Consider the following 22,554-nt stretch of genomic DNA (forward strand, 5'->3'; position numbering starts at 1 on the left):
ATGGACCAGCAGGTTGGTCCACAGTGTGCTCTTATGGTGATGACAAAGACACAAGAGGGCACATGGGAATTTCTGAGACCTCTTAAAGCCTAGGCTTGGACCTGGGACCCTACCACTTCCACCTCATTCTGTTGAGCCAAAGCAAGTCATGTGGTCGAACCCAAAGTCAAGGGATAGGGAAGTGTGCTCTGCCATTTTCCTGAGGGGACGTGCAAAATTACATGGCAAAGACAGTGGATATAAATAAGGAAGTGTGAAGAACTGGGTCCCGTAATATAGCCTAACACTGGTGGATTTCCAAGAAACTTGGAGGCAAAAAAGGAAAGTGAATAAAGAAGAGGACAGAGAAAAAGGAAGAAAAAAGAAATATTTCTTGAGCTTCTATCCTATTTGCAGGCTACGGGCACTAGGATATTTTTCTTTATTTTTAATTTTAGAGGCAGGGTCTAACTCTGTTGTCCAGGCTGAAGTATAGTGGCACGATCCTAGCTCACTGCAGCCTCAAAATCCTGAGCTCAAGCGATTCACCCCCCTCAGCCTTTTAAATAGCTGGGGCTATAGGTAGACACCATCACACCTGGGTAAATTAAAAAAAAATTTTAAGAGAAAGGGCTTGGCTATGCTGTCCAGATTGCTCTCAAACTCCTGGGCTCAAATGCTTTTCCTGCCTTGATCTCCCAAAGCACTGGTATTGCGAGCATCAACCAGCACACCTGGCCTCTAGGATATTTTTTGTATATTTGATTCTGCCTTTACAATCACCTTGTCTAAAATAGGTTTTAGTATCTCCTTTTTGGAGAGGAAAACCCCCTCAGCAATTCAGAGGAGTAAAGAAACTTTCCCATGGCTACTTAATGATCATTGTACAGCCAGAATTCAGCATGGATGGAACTGGAGGTCATTATGTTAAGTGAAATAAGCCAGGCACAGAAAGACAAATACTGCGTGTTCTCATTCATATGTGGGAGCTAAAAAATTTGATCTCAGGACAATAGAGAGTAGAATGACAGTTACCAGAGGCTGGGAAGGGTGGGAGGTAGTGGATGAGAGCCTCATTAATGGGGACAAAAATACAGTTAGGTAGAAGGAATGTGTTTTTTTTTTTTTTTTTGAGAGTCTTGCTCTGTTGCCCAGGCTGGAGTGCAGTGGTGCTATGTCAGCTCACTGTAACCTCTGCCTCCCAGGTTCAAGCGATTCTCCTGCCTCAGCCTCCCGAGTAGCTGGGACTACAGGCACCCGCCATCACGCCTGGCTAATTTTTGTATTTTTTAGTAGAGACGGGGTTTCACCATATTGGCCAGGGTGGTCTCAAACTCCTGACCTTATGATCCGCCCGCCTCGGCCTCCCAAAGTGCTGAGATTACAGCACAGTGGCGTGAGCCACTGCACCTGGCCAGGAATAAGTTTTAATGTTCAATAGCAGAGTAGGGTGGTTATCGTTAACCACAATGCACCATATATTTCAAAATAGCTAGAAGAGAGGACTGGAAATATTCCCAGCACATAGAAATGATAAATACTTGAGGTTATAGATATCATAAATACCCTGACTTGATCATCACACATTCTATGCATGTGAAAAAATACTACACATGCCCCATAAATATGTCCAAATATTATGTATCAATAAAAAATAAAAATAAAAACAAAACAAAAGCCAAAAAACAACGCGAATTCAAGTCTGTCTCACTCTTCAGGCTGTGCTTTTGCCTTTAAAACAGAGGTTAGTAACTTTTTTTGCAAAGGGCCAGGAAGAGAATGTTTTATGCTTGGCAGGCTATCAAATCTTTGCAGTAACTCCTCAACCCTGTCATAATAGTGCTGAAGCCGCCATTGCAATGCATAAACAAATGGACATCGATGTATTCCAGTAAAATGTTATTTACAAAAGCAGGCAGTGGGCCGTTGTCACAGGCTAGAGTTTTGACAGCCCCTGCTCTAAATCGCCTCCTTTTATGGGGTCTGGTGCAATCCTGGAGAGGACTCTAGATGGAAAGAAAAACATGTAAGAGGATGTGGATGTGTGGGAGCCTATGATGGCTTCAAGAGATGGAGAGGAATTTGAGGAGATGGGAGCAGATGGTGCTAATCTGAGGTCTGGGAATTGAGGGAACAGAAGATGCTGAGCATGTATTTGGGGCCTGAGTCATCATGGGTCTGCTTGTTGAGCAAAGCTCTACCATGGATCAAGGTCTTTGCTAGGCTTTGAGAGCACCCAATAGAAGGTGAAGATCAGTTCTTGTCTTTGAAAGAGGTGACAATTTGGAAGGAAGAGAGAGACCTGGAAAGAAATGGTAAAAGGGTAAGAGTGCGCAAAGTGTGGAGGCAGTGAAGTTCTGAGTCTGTTACGAGAACACTTTAAGTGAAGTCCCATCATAGGGTATCATTTATGGTGCTTTATTATTATTATTTTTTATGAGACAGGGCCTCACTCTGTCACCCAGGCTGGAGTGCAGTGGAGTGATCTTGGCTCACTGCAGTGTCAACCTTGCTGGCTCAAGCGATCCTCCCACCTCAGCCTCCTGAGTAGCTGAGACTACAGCTGTGTGCCACCACACCCAGCTAATTTTTGTATTTTTTGTAGAGACGGGGTCTCACCGTGTTGCCCAGGCTGGTCTCACACTCCTGGGTTCAAGTGATCCTCCTGCCTCAGCCTCCCAAAGTGCTGGGATTACAGGCATGAGCCATCATGCCTGGCCTCATCCATGGTTCTTGCTGGCCCAGAGACACAATGACCAGATAGAACAAAGCACTGCTATTGGGCAGAGAATCAGAGTCAATGAAACAAATGCCTCAATATCTTTCTCAAGAATTTCTTAAATGTAGACATGCATTTTTGGAGACTGAAGCTGGTACTACTATTTGAAAGAGTTAACACATTCCACTTGGAAGGGAAAAACAACCATGTGGTGACAAAGAATTCGTTCCCTTCTTTGGGTGGCAGCCACAGGATTCCTCGCCAATTAGTAGCATCTGGTCCTCATAGAAGATTCATCCCTGGGTGAGCTGGCAGGTACCTCTGGATGTGACACTCTGTGAAGTTCCTGATGGCCCATCTGTGATGTCTTCCCTTCCCAGATACCGCAGTCTTCCCTCCCCCTTTCCAACCCGTCTGCCTTTCATTTGAAATATTTTTAAACACTTAGAACTGAAAGCAGGACTATCTCCAGCTTTTTTTTTTTTTTTTTAGAGACTAGGGTGAGATTCTGAATTGGTTTTTCCAAATTTCATAAAAGAAGATAGCTAAGACAATAATAGCTATGATTTATTGAGCATATATATATATATAATATATATATATATATATGTATATATACTAGGACCTATGTTCAACATTTTACATTCACCATCTCATTTAATTATCAAAACAACAGTGTGAGGGTGGAGATGCCGTTATTATTGCAATTAACAAAGGAGGAACTCATGTCTCAGAAAGGTGCTTCCCCTGGCCAAGGTCATGCAGTTCCTAAGTGTTGCAGCCAGGGTTCCAGCCCGGTGTTGCATGAATCTACAGTTCAGACTCCAACATCTTACATATGGGGAGATCCGAAATTCAGGTTGTATAGAAGTAGAAGTTTAAATGGTGACATTTCAGAGAGGGGAGTCCCGTTTTGTTCAGCTTTTGGGCAAAATTCAGGCCCCATCATTCTAGGGGTCCCTTCCTAAATTTTCATAATAGTACAGCATGCCTTATAATACTGTATACGGTTTGACAGCTTCTAAGATGCTTTTACAGATATTAAAGGACATTAAGAGGCAGTCCTTGGCTCAAGGAGCTCCAAGAGTCCAGTGCTTTCTTAATGTGAGAAACAAACTCACCCATCCGAACCCAAAGAATGGACTCAAGAGACCTGGAGAACAGCAAACGTGAGACTTTTAATGACAGTCTTGCAAGATTGGGTATCTGATAGGCAGGCACACCCAGCACACTTTCAACAAGCAATTTATCCCCTAGTGTGCAGGTCCCTCTCCTGGTTCCTCATAGGCTGAGTACTATGGGGTTACAATCTTCCCGGACGTCACCTGTTGGTTGTTGGGTAGGGGCTTCAGGTGTTTTCTCTAGGGTTATCTTGCTGCATTTTGTTGCAGCCCACAATGCATTGCAATCCTAGTTAGCTCAGGGGCTCTTTAAGTCTTTGACTTATGACCTTTGTAGCTGGGCAGACTGGTAAGAACAGACAAAGTGAGCTATTTTGCGGGCTAGTAAACTTTCATCTTAGACTGAACAATTTTGGTTTGGGTGAGGGCAGCTAAGCCGAGGGAGGCGACAAGCAGGCCTTGCCTATCCAAGCAGGGGCCTAGTATATCCTGTTTCTTCTGTAGTTTGGTGACCTAAGCTGGTTTAAGACACTTTGTCTTGGAAATGAACTACTGTATACATTATTTCCTTCATTTAGATTCCCAGATATTTTATTTTCCTTTTTTAGGAAGATCAGGGGTGTCTCCTAGAACTCTTCTATACCTGCTGTTCTCAGAAATTCTGGTCCATCACAGGTCTCCCCTCCTTCCCCAACCCGTCTAAACCTAATTAACCAGGCTGTTTTCCCAATAGACTCCACTGAGAGGGTAGGAAAGAATGAGGTCCAGCATGTGATTCAGACACATCATCTTCATTCACTGGGAAAGAAAAGGCCTGGGTCTTAATGAGAAATAAAGAATTCTATGGATGAATCCTTCAGTTTCCTGTCAAAAGCCCAGATTGAGAAATTTAGAGTTGCCCAGCTCGTGGTCTTTTATTTTAAGTAACAGTGGGATAAATGGGCTCTGGTAGCAATCGAATACACTAGTTATCTTCCTAAATTGATGATACATCTGGCTACTTCACCCCTTTTCAATTTCAAATGCAATTTGTCTGAAGCCTCCAATTTAAACCACAGAGATCTTCTCTAAACTAAATAATAGGCTACACAACTCGCTGGCTTCCCATGAAAAGACAAAGGCGTGTGTGTGTGTGTGTGTGCGCGCGCGCGCACATGTGCACTTGCACTCACTCGCATGGTGGGGAAAATGGATTGAGGTTGATGAGAAGAGATGCATTCCAACTGATGATTGAATTTAAAGCTCTTTCATTTCTACTGGGGATCTGAGATCTGATGAAATTTTCATTTCTACTAGGCCCAACATGCCATGATTTCCAATATAGATAGAGACTTGGGGCCTTGGATAGCTGAGCAATCCTGGGCAAACCTATACTGCCCTCTCTCAATTCCACCCCGTGCTGGCCGCAGGGTTCATCACAGGTCTCCGAGCCATTTCTGGGCTTCCTAACTGGTTCTCACCTCTAGTGTCGCCATCTCCACCCCACTTCCAAGCACCTGTCAACAAGTATTTTTTTTAACATGCAAATCTGCTCGGTCACTTCTCTTCTCAGACACACACCCTTGTGTCTTACCTGAAAGGGTCCCAGACCCGGACCCCAAGAGAGGGTTCTTGGATCTCGTGCAAGAAAGAATTCAGGGCGAGTCCATAGAGTAAAGGGAAAACAAGTTAATTCAGAAAGTAAAGGAATGAAGACTGGCTATTCCATAGACAGAGCAGACCCGAGGGGTGCTGGTTGCCCATTTTTATGGTTATTTCTTGATAATATGCTAAACAAGGGGTGGATTATTCATGCCTACCCCTTTTAGACCATATAGGGTAACTTCTTGATGTTGCCATGGCATTTGTAAACTGTCATGGCGCTGGTGGGAGTGTAGCAGTGAGGACAACCAGAGGTCACTCTCGTCACCATCTTGGTTTTGGTGGGTTTTAGCCAGCTTCTTTACTGCAATCTGTTTTATCAGCAAGGTATTTATGACCTGTATCTTGTGCTGACCTCCTATATCATCCTGTGACTTAGACGGCCTAAACAGTCTGGGAATGCAGCCGAGTAGGTTTCAGCCTTATTTTACCCAACTCCTATTCAAGATGAAGTTGCTCTGGTTCACACGCCTCTGACACTTGTGGGCTTCTTATTGCTACTGAATTCAGAAGAGACTCCAGGTGAACAAAACCCTCTTCCAAGTGCATCCACAACCAAGGCATGTCATCTTTGTCATCCACTGCAGATACCTCCCATTTCCAGGACATGTCCTCTCTCTGCTCCCTGAGGGCCCCATTGCTCTCCCACCTTGACCCTTGTCCATCATGTTCCCAGTGCCAGAATCATCTTACTCCCTCCTCCTCCCACCCACTCATGCTTAACAGAAGTACTTTTTTGTTTCTGGAATGGCACAGCATAAAATTTGTAAGAGTTGGAAGGATTCTTTGAAGTTGGGAAATTCAATTTCTATGGAAATGCTATTTTCTCATTTCCAAGTCCTCTGCAAGATCCTGCTCAAATGTTGCTTCCTCTGGAAGCAGGCTGTCACTCTCCTGGCAAGTTATAGGTGCTTAAGAAATGTGTGATACATTAATGCATGAATAAATATATGGGTGGAAGAGCAAAAGGTCTTTTTAGTTTATTTTGTCCAATGCTATGGAGTCACAAACTCAGTTTTTTTTTTTTTTTTCAGAACTAAAGATGAACTGGTCAAACCTCAGACTGAGAGAGAGATTAGGTGACTTAATCAATGTCACGTGGTGAATCAGCACCAGAAGTAAGTAGGACTAGAACACAGGATTCCTAATTCTGAGCCCAGACCTTTTTCTTTGCTTCTGCATCAGTTGTTCTGTTTGTCACATCTATGGGGCGTCTTCAGGCAGTAGAGACTGGTTGGCCACTTGGCGGATTCCTCTTTCTCACTCCATGACTCTTTTGTAAGATATCGCGTTAATTCCCTCATTTTGCAGACCTTTCTTGAGTGACTGTTATGTGTGGGACTTCAAAGCTGAGAAAGACACAGTTTGGACCCCCAAGGACCTCCGGCTAGATTGGAGGTAACAGGAGAATGTGAGGGGAACACAGAACAAGAATTCTAGTGTGGGGAGGGCTGAGAGGTTTGGGGAGATTATTTCTGAGGATGAGACATTTAAGTTGAGACTGGAAGGTGAACAGGACCTTCCAAGAGGACTACGAGGGTGAAGAGAGTGATCCCTATGGAGAGAAGGTCACGTACTGAGGTCCTGTGGTATGAAAGCTCATGGTGTGTTTGGGGTCACATGTCTGGACGAGGGGATTGACAGTGGGAAGGGGGCCTGAGAATGTAGGTGGGGTCAGCTGTCCAAGGGCGATGTGTACCATGCTAAGGAGATGGTACCTTGTCCTATGAGCAGGGGGATGTATTAGTGTGTTCTGGCTGCCATAACAAAATATGGCAGACTGGGCTGCTTAAACAACAGACACTGGCTTTCTCATACTTCTGGAGGGTTCAATGTCAAGGTCAATGTCAAGGTGTCAGCAGGGTTGGTTTCCCCTAAGTCCTCTCCTTGGTTTATCGATGGCCGTCTTCTCTCTGTGTCCTCCCATGGTCACCCGCTATGTGTGTCTCTGTCCTAATCTCTTCTCATAAGGACACCAGCCAGATTAGATTCGTGCCCACCCCATGACCTCCTTCTACCTTCATCATCTCTTTAAAGACCCGATCTTCACATACAGTCACATTTTTTTTCTTTTATTTTAATTTCAATAGTTTTTGGAAAAGAAGTGGTTTTTGGCTACATGGATAAGTTCTTCAGTGGTCATTTCTGAGATTTTGGTGAATCCATCACCTGAGAGCAGTATACACTGTACCCGATATGTGGTCTCTCATCCCTCTGAAGGATTGGGCGTTTATTTTTGGCATGGGGTCAGGCGGGGGGCGTCGAAATGAAGCCCATAACGGGGCAAATGGAGGTGCTTTTTAAAAATTTTTTATTTTTGGGAGTCATTTGAAACACTCGATTCTCATTTTCTTGGCTTGCGGTGTGTTCTTAATGGCATTAATCCTTCCTCAGAAGGGCCTCTAAATATAGATGCCATCTGCTGCCAGGCAATATGTTATCACTGATCACCCACTTAACAATTACCTCCTTCTATGCAAGGAGGAGAGGTTGCCGAGACTCGAGGGGGAGGCACACCCTCCATACAGCCTTCAGCCAGTGAGAAGCCAGGGAAAAATCCTACAGTCAGGTGGGACTCCAGGACCTCAAGATGATGGAAGTTTGCCAGAATTCCAAGACTCTGTGATTCTTGACTAGCTGGGCACTTGCGTCATGCTCATTGATTCAGAAGGAGGGTCTCCTCCCCCTTCCTGTAAGTCCCGAGCACCCGTACAAAACAGTGATGGAAATTTCTGCCTATTAAAAAAAAAATGTTCCTTCTTACAGAGCAAAGTGGCACCTGCCAGCCCTGGTTGATGGCATCTCCGCCTTGATTAAGGGGAACACTCATCGTCCAGATGTGTGTGCCCTGCCCTCTGATGTGATGTGGTTTTCTCAGATGACACCTTCCTCCAGCCCTGCTGCAGAACCACTGCTGGCTGGCTTATTCCAGCACTCTTGCTGTGAAGGACAATTTGGCCTTCCATTAATTACTTTCTAAGTTCTAGATTTCAATTAGAGAGTTAATTACTTTTTGCCATATTGCCCCCATTAAAGACATTTTCACTATTAAGTCAATTTGTTAGCATTGAAGAGCTTTGCCAAGACAGAAAAGTTATTGTCCAAAGAGCCTCCTGCGGTCACTGTTGACTCCTCCTGCTTTGAGTTGATAAAGTTGAAAGGTCTATTTTAGATGTGTTTTTTCATTCATTTAGCAAATATTTGTGAACCACTTACTTTGTGCTCAGTGCTGAGGGTATGGAGGATGTGAAGATAAGTCAGATGTGGTCCTTGCCTTCAAGGGGGTCAAGAACTGATAGAAAAGGGATAAAATGAAAGGAATAAATCAGAGATGTAAGTACTGGAGTCTGGGCATGAACAAAATATCCAAACACAGAAGATGAGGGAGTGGTTAATTTGGGAAGCATATTAGCCTATTCTCACACTGCTATAAAGCCATACCCGAGACTGGGTAATTTATGAAGGAAAGAGAGTTAATTGACTTACAGTTCAACATGGTTGGTGAGCCGTCAATCATGGCAGAAGATGAAGGGACAGTAAGGTATTTCTTACATGGTGGCAGGAGAGAGAGAACTTTTAAACCACCAGATCTTGTGAGAACTCACTCACTATTATGAGAACAGCATGGGGGAAACCACCCCCATGATCTAATCGCCTCCCACCAGTCCTTCCCTCAACAACTAAGGATTACAATTCGAGATGAGATTTGGGTGCGGACACAGCACCAAACCATATCAGGAAGTCTTTGCGAGGTTATGAAATTTTACATAGGTCTTGTAGGATGCATAGGTGTTTGCCAGCCAGATAAGAAGGAAAGGGTATTTGTTTCATAGGGATGTAATAAAGTATCACAAACTAGTGGCTTAAACAACAGAAATGTATTGTCTCATGGTTGGGCACGGTGCCTGATGCCTGTAAGCCTAGCAGTTTGGGAAGTTGAGGTGCGAGGATCCCTTGAGTCTAGGAGTTTGAGACCAGCCTGGGCAACATTGTGAGATACCACCTCTACAAAAAAGTTTTTAAAATTAGTTGGGCATGAGGCCGGGCATGTTGGCTTGTGCCTGTAATGCTAGCACTTTGGGAGGCTAAGGCAGGTGGATCACCTAAGGTCAGGAGTTTGAGGCCAGCCTGATCAACAAGGTGAAACCCTGTCTCTACTAAAAACAGAAAAATTAGCCAGATGTAGTGACACATGCCCATAATCTTAGCTACTGGAGAGGCTGAGGCAGGAGAATTGCTTGAACCTGGGAGGTGGAGGTTGTGGTGAGCTGAGATTGCACCACTGCACTCAAGCCCGGGTGACAGAGTGAGGCTCTGTCTCAAAAAAAAAAAAAAAAAAAAAAAAAAAAAAAAAAAAAAAATTAGCTGGGCATGATGGTGTGTGCCTGTAGTCCTAGCTACTCAGGAAGCTGAGATGGGAGGATCACTTGAGTCCAGGAGTTCGAGGCTGCAGTGAGCTGTGATTGCACTACTGCACTCCAGCCTGGGCAACAGAGGGAGACTTTGGAAAAAAAAAGAGAGTAATTGATCATTTCACAGTTCTGGCATCTAGAAGTCTAAGATTAAGTATGGTGGCAGGGCTATGCTCCCTCTGAAGGCACCAGGCTGGAGGGATATGGTAGTCCAGGGATCTCTCCTGGCTGCAGTTAATTCCTTCCTGGGCTTGTGGTAGCAGAACTTCAATCTTCACTAGGGATCCTCCCTCTGTCTTCGCATCATTTTCCCTGAATTTGCACCTATCTCTGTGTCCAGATTTTGCCTTTCTATAAAAGCACATTAGTTGTATTGGACTGGGACACATTCTACTGACTTCATTTTATCTTGATTACCTCTACAAAGACCCTTTCTCCAAATTAAGTCATTCGTAGGTCTTTCACATATGCATTTTGCAGGACACAATTCAACCATCACAGCCTCCGAGGCAAGGAAACAGGGTGCATAAAGGCATGGAATTCTGGAAAGAATAGACTATTCAAGAGTAGGCTATTTAGGAAAGAGTAGACTAAGAAAGTGTGCCTCTGACCTAACTCATCCAGAAGCTCCTCTCAGGTTTGTTTTCTGTAAAATAAACGTGTCTTAACTGGTGAGCCACCTTTTGTGTTTCTTTCCTCTTTCTTTTCAGAGAGATAAAGATATAGCTGGACCATAGGTAACTTCAAGTTAGCTACATGTGCAATTTTTCTAAAGAATGCTCAAGGCTACAATGAGAACACGTGGACACAAGGAGGGGAACATCACACACCAGGGCCAGTCGGGGGGGTGGGAGCAAGGGGAGGGAGAGCATTAGAACAAATACCTAATGCATGTGGGGCATAAAACCTAGATGATGGGTTGATAGGTGCAGCAAATCACCATGGCACATGTATATCTATGTAACAAACCTCACATTCTGCACATGTATCCCAGAACTTAAAGGAAAATAAAAAAAAAATGTAGCGTCATGCATTTCAAGGAAATCACTTCTCTTCTAACTACAAGCAGCCAGATAAAGCAGACAGTAAAACACAGATAAGACAGCTCAGGCACAGAGTCTCCTCCTACCCAGGAGGAAGTCTCTTGGGTAACTGCCAAACTTCACCCTCATACAATGGGCCCCAGTGAAATAGTGGGTCTTAAGAAGCCCATTCCTTTCCCTTCAGGTGCACTAATATAGGGAAGCTAAAAGCAGACTTGGGGCATATGCCTGCAGCTGCAGGAAAATGTATGGAAACAGACACACAACTGTCCCTCCCAAAATAAGCACAAAAAGAGACACAGAAGCAGTCCAAGCCACTAATAAATTCTCCTGCCTTGAATCCTTAAAAACTCTTAGTCTGTAAGAAAGTGTGCCTCTGACCTAACTTGGCCAGAAGCTCGTGTCAGGTTTGTTTTCTCTAAAATAAACCTGTCTTGACTGGTGAGCCACCTTTCATGTTTCTTTTCTCTTTAATTCTTACAACCCTGACATTACTAACCCACATGTGGTCTCCCAAGGGTCTCTGTATTTATCTAATTTTATACAGATGATTTACACACAAATTTCTACAGGTTTTTCAAATCACTATTTTACAAATAATGACATTTATTTATTTATTTTTGAGATGGAGTTTCGCTCAGTCACCCAGGCTGGAGTGCAGTGGTGCGATCTTGGCTCACTGCAACCTCTGCCTCCTGGGTTCAAGAGATTCTCCTGCCTGAGCCCCCCGAGGAGCTGGAACTACAGGCACGCACCACCATGCCCAGCTAATTTTTGTATTTTTAGTAGAGACGGGGTTTCACTGTGTTGGTCAGTCTGTTCTCAAACTCCTGGCCTTGTGATCTGCCTGCCTTGGCCTCCCCAAGTGCTGGGATTACAGGCATGAGCCACTGCGCCTGGCCAATGATATCTTTTTGTAAGTGATTTTCAGTCTTACTCTACAGAGCCTTGTGGAAATCCTCTAAACCATGCTTTCTCAATGGGGGCAACACTGATCCCAAGGTTATGATCATTGATTCTTGGGAGGTGAAAGAAGTTTTACAATGGCCTGTGGTCTTCCAAGGCTCGATTCCATTTGAGGAAATAAACAGATGTGCAGTGTTTCTGTGGGATTAAAATTTCATGGAGGGGATGACTATGAAGAAAAGATTCAGGAAAACTGCTTGAAGTCATCTGCTATGACTCTGATCTTTTCTCTCTTTATTATTTTCAGAGGCAGTTCTTTCACTCTTGCCCAGGCTGGAGTGCAGTGGGATGATCATGGCTCACTGCAGCTTTGACCTCCTGGACTCAAGCAATCCTCCTACCTCAGCCTTCTGAGTAGATGAGACTACAGGCATGCACCACTGAGCCTGGCTAATTTTTAACTTTTTTTCTTTTTTTGATAGAAATGGAGCTTTGCTATGTTGCCCAAGCTGGTCTCAAACTCCTGGCCTCAAGTGATCCTCCTGCCTCAACCTCACAAAGTGTTGAGACTGTAGGCATAAACCCCCATGCCTGGTCTGATCTTCTCTTTTTAATGGTTGCATACTATTCTGTGGTGTAGATGGACCATCATTTATTCAGCTGTCCTTGCATTTCTGGGCATCCATTCTATGTCCAGCTTTTTGTCATATGAAGAACGCTGCAGTTGACTGATTGTTGCTTCCATTTATCTGGCATAGATTTTCAGAGTAGAAATCTTGATCACCAGTTATCTGATTTTATATTTTGCAATAGGATGGTTGCAGTGGCTCATGCCTGTAACCCTCACACTTTTGGAGGCTGAGGCAGGCAGATTATTTGAAGCCAGGACTTTGCAACCAGCCTGGCCAACATGGTGAAACCCCATCTCTACTAAAAATACAAAAAATTAGCCAGGCGTGGTGGCACACACCTGTAATCCCAGTTACTTGGGAGGCTGAGGCAGGGGAAGTGCTTGAACCCGGGAGGTGGAGGTTGCAGTGAGCCAAGATTGCACCACTGCACTCCAGCCTGGGTGACAGAGTGACACTCCATCTCAAAATAAATAAATAAACAAATAAACTAATTAATTTTGCAATAAGTATTACCAGGTTGCTTTTCTCATGTTAAAGGTGATGCCTTCTCTCAGTAGTAGGTGCTGTCACCCTTTCTGGGGATTTCCACTCTGAGGGGTATAAAGTGATATCTCACTGTGACTTTAATTTGCATATCTCTGACTAGCAGCCAATGTGAGCATCTTTTCATACATTTACGGCCATGTAGATTTGCTCTTATATGAATTGTCTATACATGTATGGTTGGCTCCATTTTTATACTACGGTGTTTATCTTTTCTTGTAAATTCCCAAGAGTTCTTTGTATGTTACAGATATTAATCCTTTGTGTCACATCAGGAAAGTGCTTCTCCAGATCTATCATCTCTTAATTTATGGTTCTTTGACTTAATTTATGGTTCTTCTTGCACATTTAAGTTCTAAGTTTTACATAGTTAAATAAACATGTCTTTATTTTACAGCTTTTGCATTTCCAGTCTAGGTTAACTCCCAAATTATACATTGGGTCTTATAGATTTTCTTGCAAGGTTTTTGGCTTTATTTATTTTTTGAGACAAGGTCTTGCTGTATTGCCCAGACCAGAGTGCAGTGGTGAGATCATAACTCACCGCAGACTTGATCTTCTGGGCTCAAGTGATCCCGTTGCCTCAGCCTCCTGAGTAGCTGGGACTACAGTCTCATGCCACCATGCCCAACTAATTTTTATTTTATTTTTAGTAGAGATGACGTCTCACTATGTTGCCCAGGCGGATCTTGAACTCTTGGCCTCAAGTGATCCTCCTGCCTTGGCCTCCCAAGGTGTTTGGATTACAGGTAGGACCCACTGTGCCCAGACAAATTTAAGTTTCTTTAATACACATACTCAAGGCCACTCTAGCCAGAAGACCCAGAGACACTCTGATATGGGAGTGGAGTGGGGCAGGGTACTGGCCTCCTGCAGAGCCTCTGGCTTCCCAACACTGTGAAGGCCCCAGCCACTGCCATGAGGATGGAATCTTTTGGTAGAACAGAAAGTTTTGGGGGAAGGAGCAGTCACTTTCCCATGGGCTTGCCCTTTATCTCCTTTGCTGTGTGATTTTGGTGTATGAACTATACCTCCCACCATTCAGACAGAACCTAGAACCTATCTCTTACCTGCCCACCTGCTGACTGGTAGAGCCTCCTGGTGTGGTGGGACAAGGAGAGAGAGGAAGTCAAGAAAGCAGAAGAGCAGGGAGCACCCGGAGGAAGGGTGTGGAGGGCGGTGGCAGTCTTGCCATTTGGCCTGGCAGGGATGAGATTCCTCCATAGTCAAGGGTAAGATATCATGGTGATACCAATATCCTCTGGGGCCACCTAAGGACAAGAAAACCCCAGCAGGAAGAGGCTAGATTGTGGCCCATCTGAGAGAACAGAACCCCTGCCACCCCAAAACTCTTAAGTCTCCAGTCCAGCTGGCACCAAGAGGGGAGAGAAAGAGTTTAGCATCAAATACAAGGTTAAAATTGTAGAACAAATAGGACCACCTGAAAACATGAACAAGGTTGTTTTATTAGATGAAGCCGAATCAAAAATTATAAAATTAAATGACATTATATGAAAAGAGCAGCCTACAACCCAGGGAAAGAAGGGGTCTTGACAGAGGAGTTGTAATACCAATGAAAAAAAAAGATGTTTATAATGTATAAACATATTTTACAGCAGTTCAGACTGCCATAAAATATACCATAAATGGAGTGGCTTATACAATAGGAAGTCATCTTTTTTTTTTTTTTTTTCAATTCTGGAGGCTGGAAGACAGATGAGGTTTCTCAGTATGGTTAGGTTCTTGTGAGGGCTCTTTTCCTGGCTTGCAGACAGCTGCCTTCTTGCTATGTCTTTACCTAGTGGAGAGAGAGAGAGAGAGAGAGAGAGAGAGAAGAGATAACAAGCTCTCTCTTTTTCTTTTAATAAAATCACTAACCCTATAGGATTAGGATTGTGCCCTTATGACCTCACTTAATCTTAATTACCCCCTAAAAGCCTCATCTCTATATACAGTCACGTTAGGGGTTTGAGCTTCAGCATAGGAATTTTTTGGGGGTGGTGGGGAGATAATTCAGTCCATAGCAATATGCTAATGAGTTGAGAGGCCCTCACTTAACTGGGTATATTTGGCATTAACTGAGAAAAGGTCAGATTATGACACCTATTGGGGATTTTCGTATTGTAGTCTAGGATTCAAGAGGACCAAAAGTTTGTAAGACAAGAAGAAATAAGACTACAATGATAGATGGCAGCTGAAATATTTTGAGGCAGGGTTCATGCTGTATTTAATAGGGAAGATAAGGTAGTGGTCTCTGTCTTTCTCTGTCTCTCTCTCTCTCTCACACACACACACATGCCCCTGAAAGATCCACAGTGATCACCTAGCCCAGGAATAACAGTTGCTTGGTATGGGAGACATTATTCCCCTATTTCTTCTCTCATGGCAGACATAAGTAACGATTATGGCACTGTTTCATGCTATGACTACTGATATGGTTTGGATTTGTGTCCCTGCCCAAATCTCATGCCCAGTCATAATCCCCAGTGTTGGAGGAGGGGCCTGGTGGGGGCTGATTGGATCATGGGAGCGAATTTCCCCCTTGCTGTTCTTGTGATAGCAAGTGAGTTCTCATGAAATGTGGTTGTTTAAAAGTGTGTAACACCCCCCCCCCACCAACTTTTGCTCTCTCTTCCTCCTGCTCCAGCCATGTAAGACATGTGTGCTTCCTCTTTGCCTTATGCCATGATTAAAAGTTTCCTGAGGCCTCCTCAGCCATGCTTCCTGTACGTCCTGTGGAACTGTGAGTCAATTACATCTCTTTTCTTTATAAATTACCCAGTTTTGGCCGGGCATGATGGCTCACTCCTGTAATCTCAGCACTTTAGGAGGCTGAGGCAGGCGGATCGTGAGGTCAAGAGATCGAAAGCATCCTGGCCAAAATGGTGAAACCCCGTCTCTACTAAAAATACAAAAATTGAGCTGGGTGTGGTGGTGCACGCCTGTAGTCTCAGCTACTTGGGAGGCTGAGGCAGGAGAATTGCTTGAACCCGGGAGGCAGAGGTTTTAGTGAGCCGAGATCGTGCCATTGCTCCCCAGCCTTTGGGCGACAGAGACAGACTCTGTCTCAAAAAAAAAAAAAAATTACCCAGTTTCAGGTAGTTTTTTATAGCAATGTGAGAATAGACTAATACAACTACCTGTTCTCTGATGCAAAAAAGAGACAGCCCACTGCAATCAGGGAGGGCTTCCTGAAAGAGGTGAGACTTCAACTGGTTCTTGAAAGATAGGCTGGGTTTTTAAATGTGGCCCCTAAACTTTGGTAGGCTAAGGAGGACTTCTTGAGACTAGATCCTGGAGTCCATCTAATGAGACTCTGATTCAGTTCATATTAGGGATATTCTTCATTTTTTATGTTCCTCAGGTGAATTAGATCCCTGGAGAATGGGGATACTGGAAGCAGAGGAGAGACTGGCATAAGCAAAGAAGGGCAATCAATAGAAGGTCCCCAAGGAAGGAAGAATCAGAACTGTGAGTTGTGGTTATTGGTTGCACTAGAGAGAAGTCCAAGGCAGGGATGAGCTGGAAATTGGTGGTTGTCAAATCTGGAGGTCATGACTACAGACCTGGAAGGACTGAGTACAGCTGCAATGCCAGCAACTTATACCTGTACTTTCAGGCATTGAATTTCAGAAAGTGAGCAGTGGGAACAGCTCAATCTATTTACAAATCCTAACTGACCAGTAAGCCACCCCCTCCTGCTTCTGCCTGCTTGTGAAAAATGCTATTTTAACAAGGGGCAGCCGATCAGTGCAGGATATTTTGGTAATGGCTTGATATCCATCTTAGTCTGTTTTCTGTTGCTATAACTGAACACCTGAGACTAGCTAATTTATGAAGAAAATAAATTTCTTTCTTCCTTTTTTTTTTTTTTTTTGAGATGCAGTCTTTCTCTGTAGCCCAGGCTAGAGTGCAGTGGTGTGATCATAGCTCTCTCCACCCTTGAACTTCTGGGCTCAAGCGATCCTCCTGCCTCAGCCTGCCAAGTAGCTGGGAGTACAGATTTATGCCACCATATCTGGCTAGTTTTTTCGTTTTTAACTTTTTTGTAGTGATGAGGTCTCACCATGTTTCCCAGGCTGGTCTGGAACTCCTGACCTCAAGTGATGCTCCTAACTCAGACTCCCAAAGCACTGGGATTACAGCGAGCCTCTGTGATTTGCACCTGAGAATAGCTGGAATTGGAATTCAAATACCTGTCTGATTTACTTCAACCTCCCCTGCCCACCACCCAAGTCTCCCAGATTTGGAAGATTGTCCAGAGGTCCATGTTGGCCTGTAGAATGATGGCACCATGTTTAAATGATGAGCCATCACACCCAGCCAGAAATTTATTTCTTACAGTTCTTGGGGCTGGGAAGTCCAAGGATGAGTGACTTCATCTTGTGAGAAATTTCTTGCTGGTGTGGACTCTCTGCCGAGTTCCAAAGCAGCACAAGGCATCACAAGATTAGGGGGCTCACAAAAGAGGACTAAAGTGACTTTTATAATAGACCCACTCTTGTGACAAGTAACTCACTCTTTTGATAACCCATTAACCTATTAATTTCTTAATTCATGAATGCATTAATCTATTCATGAGAGTTCTGCCCTTATGCATGTCCTATTCACCTGCTAAAGGTTTTACCTCTTAGCACTGCTGTGGGATCCCAACCAAGTTTCCAACACATGAATTTTGGAGGAATGCACTCAATCCATAGCCATATCCAAAGCATTGTCACATCTGGGCCGATTACTTTATATATTAAAAACAGCCTTAGTACCTCTGCCTGTTTTCCTGTAATTTAATAGAAGCAATGAAGGTAATAATAATTAAAATAAGGGTTCTTATTTACTTAGTCTGTACCATATTCTAGGCACAATACTAGTCTTTTGTAAACTAGAAGGAGGTTCTATTATTGCTCCCACACCCAACTGTTACAGGAAAGGAGTCCCAATCCAGACCTCAAGAGAGGGTTCTTGGATCTCACACAAGAAAGAATTCAGAGTGAGTTTGCAGTGCAAAGTAAAAGCAAGTTTATTAAGAAAGTAAAGTGATGAAAATACAGCTACTCCATAGACAGAGTAGGGTGTTCCTGAAAGTAAGAGGAGGAATGCGTCCACCCTAGGTACAATACTCGTATGTATGGGGAGATGTTCTCTGCTATAAGGGTTTGTGATAAAGGATAAATTTTCTTAATTACTATATTTTTCCAGAATTAATATTATTATCTTTAAAGCAAAATTAGGAATGCCTTTGTCCAGATATCAGGATATCTGGACACTCCCAAGTCTGGGTCTGTTTAGTAAACATTATGAATTTGTTCTCTTAACCATAAATATCTAGAAGCTAGGAATGCCTGACTTTCTGGGAATGCAGCCCAGCAGGTCCCAGCCTCATTTTCCTAGCCCTCACTCAAGATGGAGTCACTCTGGTTAGAACACCTCTGCCACAACCATTGTGTAGAAGAGGAAGATAAGGCCCAATGAGCCTCTGTGATTTGCACCTGAGAACAGCTGGAATTGGAATTCAAATACCTTCTGGCTTATTTCAACCTCCCCTGCCCACCACTCAAGCCTCCCAGATTTGGAGGATTGTCCAGAGGTCCACGTTTGCCTGTAGGATGATGGCACCATGTTTAAACAGTTGGATGTGGCAGTATCATGCATTTGGATGTTGGTGGTAATCTGCTTATGACACCCCCCAATCCCGTGGGAAACTTCAGACTTATTTTGGAAAGATTGTTAGGAGGTCAGCTCTGGGATACCATGAATGCCAGTGGAGATTAAGAGAAGTAGTGTTTTGGCATTCATATTAAAGTGACTGGGCCAGGCACGGTGGCTCACGCCTGTAATCCCAGAACTTTGGGAGGCCGATGTGGGCGGATCACGAGGTCAGGAGTTCGAGACCAGCCTGGTCAACATGGTGAAACCCAATCTGTACTAAAAATACAAAAATTAGCTGGGCTTGTTGGCAGGCACCTATAACGCGCTGCTCGGGAGGCTGAGGCAGGAGAATTGCTTGAAACCAAAAGGCAGAGGTCGCAGCGAGCCAAGATCGCACCACTACACTCCAGCCTGGGTGAAAGAACAAAACTCCGTCTCAAAAAAAAAAAAAAAATTTAAGTGACTTCAGTGAAATCAGAGGTTGAAAAGGCCTGAGATGGTTCAGTTACATGAAGTATGACTTAGGAGGTGAAATGGAGAGTGTAGGCTTGAGAAGTAGATTAACTTGGGCTCTTGGGCCTGGCCTGCCACCCCGTAACCTTATGACTTTGGACAAGATAACACAATCTGTCCGAAACTCAGCTCAACTCTCAAATGGGCCTAAGGATCCCTGCTTCTTAAGAATCCTGTGGAGACAACTGAGGCAGTAGGATTTGTTTAAGGCTAGGAGTTTGAGACCATCCTGAGCAACATAGCAAGACTCCATATCTAAAAAGATAAATTAACCCAGCATGGTAGTGCATGCCTGTAGTCCCAACTACCTGGGAGGCTGAGGTGGGAGGGTCCCTTAAGACCAGGAGTTGGAGGCTGCAATGAATTATGATCATTCCACTGCACTCTAGCCTGGGTGACAAAGTGAGACCCTGTCTTACAAAAAAAAAGTATCCTGTGAAGAGAAATGACTCAGGGTACAGACATGCCTATTTGGGTGCCTGTTCATGGAAGTGCAAGATAAATATAGGCTTCCTGCCTCTAATAGGGCCAGGGATAGACCAGAAGGGAATTCTTGGTTCCCATTTAGAGTAGAGAGGAGGAAAAAGAGAAAGAGTGAGAGAGATTGAAAGGGAGAGAGATGCTTTTGTTTAGAGCATCTCTGGGAAGAAGGACTTGTATTTATCTGCCTCTTGGGCTTCCTTTCAGGGCTACTGCCCCTAGATATGCTGAACTAGGGCAAACAGCTCAAATTGGGAGTGACAATGCCATTTTGCAGCAAATGTCTCCAGAGGAGAGGAGTGACTGACACTTTCTGCTATGTTTTCCTCTCCATCCCTTCCCAGCCCGTAATAGTGGCCAGGAGAATTAACAATGAGACAAGAGCTAAAAACAAGGGAGAATCTTCACAAGGTTACTGGAATTGGAGGAGGCATTGGCAACTTTACCTCTACATGTAACTGTCTGCTGGGTTCTTCCTGCCTGCTGCACAAATAAAGACCATGACATTGCTGTAAAGAAAGAGTTTAATTGACAGAAGGCCAGCCACACCACATGAGAGACTGGTTACTACTCAAATCAATCTCCCTGAAGGCTCATAATTAGGGGTTTTTCAAAGGCAGTTTGGGGGAAGGAGCAGGGGTAGCTAGGAAATAGGTGCTTTCTGCTGATTGGTTGGGGTGGAGATGAAATCACAGGGGGTTGAAACTGTCTTTTTGAGTTGAGTTGCTCCCATGTGAGCCACAGGAGTCATTGATTCCAAGTGGAGCCATAGTGTCAGACATGCAAAAAACCTCAAAAGGTATCTCAAAAGGCCAATCTACAACAGTGGTGTTATCTGCAGGAAAAGTCTGGCAACCTATGTCTACATCTTAGCAGAATTCGGGCTCCTCTCCTCCCCCTAGCCTGGTGGATTTTCATTAGCTTTACAGAGGTAGTTGAGTTTGGGGGAAGGCCTATTACCATTTAAACTTCAACCTCAATATCTTTCAAAGTCAGCTAGGCCTAAAAGCCCAAAAATAATAAAGGAAAAGCCAAGATGGGGGTGTGTTAAATCAGATCTCTTTCACTGCTGTAATTTTCTCACTGTTTTAATGTTGGCTAAGGCAGTTTAATACAGGTTGCTGAGTCTTCATGGCAAGGTCCCTTTTGCATTGCAGGATTGCATGTGATTTATTGTGCTCCTGTATCCCTTCATTCATACTTCTGACCCTCACTGAACATCTGTGAGTGCAATACTATGCAATGGGTAGTTTCTGCTCTCAGGGACTCAGTCTCCTTTGGGAGATGCATACCTAAGCAGATGGTCACTCAGCACAACTGAGCCTGGACAGAGGAAATGCAGACAGCCTGCAAGCATTTCTGGAGGAGCTACTCTTTTTGTTACAATCTGAGAAAATTATTAACAGTAAAGCAGGTGGAGGCAAGGGGAGAGGAGTTGGAGGAGACAGAAGAAGACATTTCTGGCAAAAGCCACTGCAGATAAAGGTGGGGTGGACACACTGAGCAATTAGTGAGGGGATCAGGAGGCTGGAGAGACATTCAAGGTTCAGGTCATGGAGATTTTGGAATTTTTCCTTAAACCTGTCATGCGGCTGTCAGAAGCATTTGAACCAGAGCAACTCCATCTTGAATGGGAGGTAAAATGAGGCTGAGACCTACTGGGCTGCATTCCCAGACAGTTAAAGCATTCTAAGTCACAGGGTGAGATAGGAGGTCAGCACAAGATACAGGTCATAAAGACCTTGCTGATAAAACAGATTGCAATAAAGAAGTCAGGCAAAACCCACCAAAACCAAGATGGTGACGAGAGTGACCTCTGGTCATCCTCACTGCTACATTCCCACCAGCACCATGACAGTTTACAAGTGGTATGGCAACATGAGGAAGTTACCCTATATGGTCTAAAAAGGGGAGACATGAATAATCCACCCTTTGTTTAGCATATCATTAAGAAATAACCATGAAAATGGGCAACCAGCAGCCCTTGGGTCTGCTCTATCTGTGGAGTAGCTGTTCTTTTATTCCTTTACTTTCCTAATAAACTTCCTTTCACTTTACTCTATGGACTCACCCTGAATTCTTTCTTGCATCAGATCCAAGAACCCTCTCTTGCGGTCTGGATTGGGACTCTTTCCTCTAACAGAGCTGTTGATGGATTTAAGTTGGGAGTGGGATGATCATATTGGCCTTTTTAGCAAGAGGTCCCTGGCAATGGTGGAGAGGGAACCATGTGAGTTTTTATAGGAACTTGGCTCCAAAGATGACAAGACTTGAGAACAAAGGTAGTGGCCATGGAGATGGAATCTGGAGGTCTGATTCTGAAACCGCCCTTGTAAAATTATAACTGAAAAAATTATGACAGTGAAAGAGATCAGACCTAACCGATTCCATCTTGCTTCTAACTTTTAAACTGTCCTTGTTCATTCCTGGATGTAGGCGGAACTAGCTTTGGGAAGTAGTTCAGCTCATGATTTGACTCTGAAACAAAGTTGATAATTGCCTTTTCCTGAAAAGACCCCCTTCTTACCTAGGGACCAGTCTGCCTTTGCAGGACTAACAAATTAGCTACTGCAGGACTAACCAATTAGCTACAAGATTAGAAATGACATTTAGGGGCCATGCAACCTCTGGCTGCAAGAGTCTGAACCTCCCCAAATTGCTCCTGGGGACAACATCACTATTGTAAAACCTAAGATTGGTGCTTGAGATATTGTACAGACCCTGCACTGGATGGATCAGCTGACACCACCAAGACAGGTAATCTGGCTCAACCGGTTCTGCCATCCCACCCAGGAACAGAAGACAGGAAGAAAACTCACTTCGATCCACTATGATTCCACCTCCAATCTGACCAATCAGCACTCCCCACTTCCCAAGCCCCTACCTGCCAAATTATCTTTAAAATCTCTGATTCCTGAA

At 44.1% G+C, this 22,554-nt stretch overlaps 1 long non-coding RNA gene across 1 annotated transcript in view; it reads right to left on the reverse strand.

The window, feature by feature from the left end:
- Positions 1–8,501: 8,501 nt before the first annotated feature.
- LOC105375340 (uncharacterized) overlaps positions 8,502–22,554 on the reverse strand; it is a 32,332-nt gene continuing 18,279 nt past the window's right edge. The window contains exon 3 of the long non-coding RNA XR_001745238.2: positions 8,502–8,752. This is a non-coding gene — a long non-coding RNA (uncharacterized LOC105375340). The remainder of the gene's footprint in view (positions 8,753–22,554) is intronic.

The sequence above is a fragment of the Homo sapiens genome, chromosome 7 (genome assembly GCF_000001405.40).
Source record: "Homo sapiens chromosome 7, GRCh38.p14 Primary Assembly".
Classification (NCBI taxonomy): domain Eukaryota; kingdom Metazoa; phylum Chordata; class Mammalia; order Primates; family Hominidae; genus Homo; species Homo sapiens.